General features: G+C 42.3%; 1 annotated feature.

The window, feature by feature from the left end:
* Window positions 3,932–4,432: an enhancer, noted in NCBI's record as "H3K4me1 hESC enhancer chr2:67583148-67583648 (GRCh37/hg19 assembly coordinates)". NCBI's record gives its function as "activates a minimal SCP1, AML or CMV promoter by ChIP-STARR-seq in primed H9 embryonic stem cells {active_cell/tissue: H9 hESC(primed)}" and the evidence as "EXISTENCE:reporter gene assay evidence [ECO:0000049][PMID:30033119]".

The raw sequence follows: 4,745 nt of genomic DNA, 5'->3' as shown, positions 1-4,745 counted from the left end.
TATAAGAATGCTTGTGATTTTTGTACATTGATTTTGTATCCTCTGACTTTGCTGAAGTTGCCTATCAGCTTAAGGAGATTTTGGGCTGAGACAATGGGGTTTTCTAGATATACAATCATGTCGTCTGCAAAGAGGGACAATTTGACTTCCTCTTTTCCTAATTGAATACCCTTTATTTCCTTCTCCTGTCTAATTGCCCTGGCCAGAACTTCCAACACTATGTTGAATAGGAGTGGTGAGAGAGGGCATCCCTGTCTTGTGCCAGTTTTCAAAGGGAATGCTTCCAGTTTTTGCCCATTCAGTATGATATTGGCTGTGGGTTTGTCATAGATAGCTCTTATTATTTTGAAATATGTCCCATCAATACCTAATTTATTGAGAGTTTTTAGCATGAAAGGTTGTTGAATTTTGTCAAAGGCCTTTTCTGCATCCATTGAGATAATCATGTGGTTTTTGTGTTTGGTTGTGTTTATATGCTGGATTACATTTATTGATTTGTGTATATTGAACCAGCCTTGCATCCTAGGGATGAAGCCCACTTGATCATGGTGGATAAGCTTTTTGATGTGCTGCTGGATTCAGTTTGCCAGTATTTTATTGAGGATTTTTGCATCAATGTTCAACAAGGATATTGGTCTAAAATTCTCCTTTTTGGTTGTGTCTCTGCCAGGCTTTGGTATCAGAATGATGCTGGCCTCATAAAATGAGTTAGGGAGGATTCCCTCTTTTTCTATTGATTGGAATAGTTTCAGAAAGAATGGTACCAGTTCCTCCTTGTACCTCTGGTAGAATTCAGCTGTGAATCCATCTGGTCCTGGACTCTTTTTGGTTGGTAAGCTATTGATTATTGCCCCAATTTCAGAGCCTGTTATTGGTCTATTCAGAGATTCAACTTCTTCCTGGTTTAGTCTTGGGAAGGTGTATCTGTCGAGGAATTTATCCATTTCTTCTAGATTTTCTAGTTTATTTGCGTAGAGGTGTTTGTAGTATTGTCTGATGGTAGTTTGTATTTCTGTGGGATCAGTGGTGATATCCCCTTTATCATTTTTTATTGTGTCTATTTGATTCTTCTCTCTTTTCTTCTTTATTAGTCTTGCTAGTGGTCTATCAATTTTGTGGATCCTTTCAAAACACCAGCTCCTGGATTCACTAATTTTTTGAAGGGTTTTTTGTATCTCTATTTCCTTCAGTTCTGCTCTGATTTTAGTTATTTCTTGCCTTCTGCTAGCTTTTGAATGTGTTTGCTCTTGCTTTTCTAGTTCTTTTAATTGTGATGTTAGGGTGTCAATTTTTGATCTTTCTGGCTTTCTCTTGTGGGCATTTACTGCTATAAATTTCCCTCTACACACTGCTTTGGATGTGTCCCAGAGATTCTGGTATGTTGTGTCTTTGTTCTCGTTGGTTTCAAAGAACATCTTTATTTCTGCCTACATTTCGTTATGTACCCAGTAGTCATTCAGGAGCAGGTTGTTCAGTTTCCATGTAGTTGAGTGGTTTTGAGTGAGTTTCTTAACCTGAGTTCTAGTTTGATTGCACTGTGGTCTGAGAGACAGTTTGTTATAATTTCTCTTCTTTTACATTTGCTGAGGATAGCTTCACTTCCAAATATGTGGTCAATTTTGGAATAGGTGTGGTGTGGTGCTGAAAAGAATGTATATTCTTTTGATTTGGGGTGGAGTGTTCTGTAGATGTCTATTAGGTCCGCTTGGTGCAGAGCTGAGTTCAATTCCTGAGTATCCTTGTTAACTTTCTCTCTCGGTGATCTGTCTAATGTTGACAGTGGGGTGTTAACGTCTCCCATTATTATTGTGTGGGAGTCTAAGTCTCTTTGTAGGTCACTCAGGACTTGCTTTATGAATCTGGGTGCTCCTGTGTTGGGTGCATATATATTTAGGATACTTAGCTCTTCTTGTTGAATTGATCCCTTTACCGTTATGTAATGGCCTTCTTTACCGTTACATAATGGCCTACCATTATGTAATGACCATTATGTAACGTCTCTTTTGATCTTTGTTGGTTTAAAGTCAGTTTTATCAGAGACTAGGATTGCAACCCCTGCTTTTTTTTGCTTTCCATTTGCTTGGTAGATCTTCCTCCATCCTTTTATTTTGAGCCTATGTGTGTCTCTGCATGTGAGATGGGTTTCCTGAATACAGCACACTGATGGGTCTTGACTCTTTATCCAATTTGCCAGTCTGTGTCTTTTAATTGGAGCATTTAGTCCATTTACATTTAAAGTTAATATTGTTATGTGTCAATTTGATCCTGTCATTATGATGTTAGCTGGTTATTTTTCTCGTTAGTTGATGCAGTTTCTTCCTAGTCTCGATGGTTTTTACATTTTGTCATGATTTTACAGTGGCTGGTACCGGTTGTTCCTTTCCATGTTTAGCGCTTCCTTCAGGAGCTCTTTTAGGGCAGGCCTGGTGGTGACAAAATCTCTCAGCATTTGCTTGTCTGTAAAGGATTTTATTTCACTTCACTTATGAAGCTTAGTTTGGCTGGATATGAAATTCTGGGTTGAAAATTCTTTTCTTTAAGAATATTGAATATTGGCCCCCACTCTCTTCTGGCTTGTAGAGTTTCTGCTGAGAGATCTGCTGTTAGTCTGATGGGCTTCCCTTTGTGGGTAACCGACCTTTCTCTCTGGCTGCCCTTAACATTTTTTCCTTCATTTCAACTTTGGTGAATCTGACAATTATGTGTCTTGGAGTTGCTCTTCTCGAGGAGTATCTTTGTGGCATTCTCTGTATTTCCTGAATTTGAATGTTGGCCTGCCTTGCTAGGTTGGGGAAGTTCTCCTGGATAGTATCCTGCAGAGTGTTTTCCAACTTGGTTCCATTCTCCCCGTCACTTTCAGGTACACCAATCAGACGTAGATTTGGTCTTTTCACATAGTCCCATATTTCTTGGAGGCTTTGTTCATTTCTTTTTATTCTTTTTTCTCTAAACTTCCCTTCTCGCTTCATTTCATTCATTTCATCTTCCATCACTGATACCCTTTCTTCCAGTTGATCGCATTGGTTCCTGAGGCTTCTGCATTCTTCATGTAGTTCTCAAGCCTTGGCTTTCAGCTCTATCAGCTCCTTTAAGCACTTCTCTGTATTGGTTATTCTAGTTATATATTCCTGTAAATTTTTTTCAAAGTTTTTAACTTCTTTGCCTTTGGTTTGAATTTCCTCCTGTAGCTCGGAGTAGTTTGATCGTCTGAAGCCTTCTTCTCTCAACTCGTCAAAGTCATTCTCCATCCAGCTTTGTTCCTTTGCTGGTGAGGAACTGCGTTCCTTTGGAGGAGGAGAGGTGCCCTACTTTTTAGGGTTTCCAGTTTTTCTGCTGTTTTTTCCCCATCTTTGTGGTTTTATCTACTTTTGGTCTTTGATGATGGTGATGTACAGATGGGTTTTTGGTGTGGATGTCCTTTCTGTTTGTTAGTTTTCCTTCTAACAGACAGGACCCTCAGCTGCAGTTCTGTTGGAGTTTGCTAGAGGTCCACTCCAGACCGTTTGCCTGGGTATCAGCAGCAGTGGCTGCAGAACAGCGGATTTTCGTGAACTGCAAATGCTGCTGTCTGATCGTTCCTCTGGAAGTTTTGTCTTAGAGGAGTACCCAGCCGTGTGAGGTGTCAGTCTGCCCCTACTAGGGGGTGCCTCCCAGTTAGCCTGCTCAGGGGTCAGGGGTCAGGGACCCACTTGAGGAGGCAGTCTGCCCGTTCTCAGATCTCCAGCTGCGTGCTGGGAGAACCACTGCTCTCTTCAAAGCTGTCAGACAGGGACATTTAAGTCTGCAGAGGTTACTGCTGTCTTTTTGTTTGTCTGTGCCCTGCCCCCAGAGGTGGAGCCTACAGAGGCAGGCAGGCCTCCTTGAGCTGTGGTGGGCTCTACCCAGTTCGAGATTCCCCGCTGCTTTGTTTACCTAAGCAAGCCTGGGCAATGGCGGGCGCCCCTCCCCCAGCCTTGCTGCCACCTTGCAGTTTGATCTCAGACTGCTGTGCTAGCAATCAGAGAGACTCCCTGGTCGTAGGACCCTCCCAGCCAGGTGCGGGATATAATCTCCTGGTGCGCAGTTTTTTAAGCCCGTCAGAAAAGCGCAGTATTAGGGTGGGAGTGACCTGATTTTCCAGGTGCTGTCTGTCACCCTTTTCTTTGACTAGGAAAGGGAACTCCCTGACCCCTTGTGCTTCCTGAGTGAGGCAATGCCTCACCCTGCTTTGGCTCGTGCACGGTGCACTGCACCCACTGACCTGCACCCACTGTCTGGCACTCCCTAGTGAGATGAACCCAGTACCTCAGATGGAAATGCAGAAATCTCCCGTCTTCTGCATCGCTCATGCTGGGAGCTGTAGACCGGAGCTGTTCCTATTCAGCCATCTTGGCTGCCACCCCCGATCACTGTTTTTCAACCCACCAGGCAGGCTTCTATCCAGGGCCTTTGCACTTGCTGTTTCTTTCCTGGAATGCTCTTTCTCCAGATATCTACCTGACATATTCCCTCATTCCCTCCAGGATTTTATTCAAAAGTCACCTTCCCCATGTGATTATTTATTTCCCTGGGCACCCAGTATCTGAAGTTTCAGCCCTTTCTTTCTCATCCCTCTTTTCTTCTTCATTTTTATCTTTCCCTTACCAAGTATCACTAACACTATATTTTTCACATTTTAATCTTGCTTATATTTATTTCCTTCACTACAATGTAAATAGAAAGAAGAGAGGGATCTTCTTTTTGTTTTTATTCTCTATCACATATCC

Source organism: Homo sapiens, chromosome 2 (assembly GCF_000001405.40).
Source record: "Homo sapiens chromosome 2, GRCh38.p14 Primary Assembly".
NCBI classification, from domain to species: Eukaryota; Metazoa; Chordata; class Mammalia; order Primates; family Hominidae; genus Homo; species Homo sapiens.
Note: the sequence above shows the minus strand (reverse complement) of the source record. Positions and strands in the feature narration are given on the sequence as shown.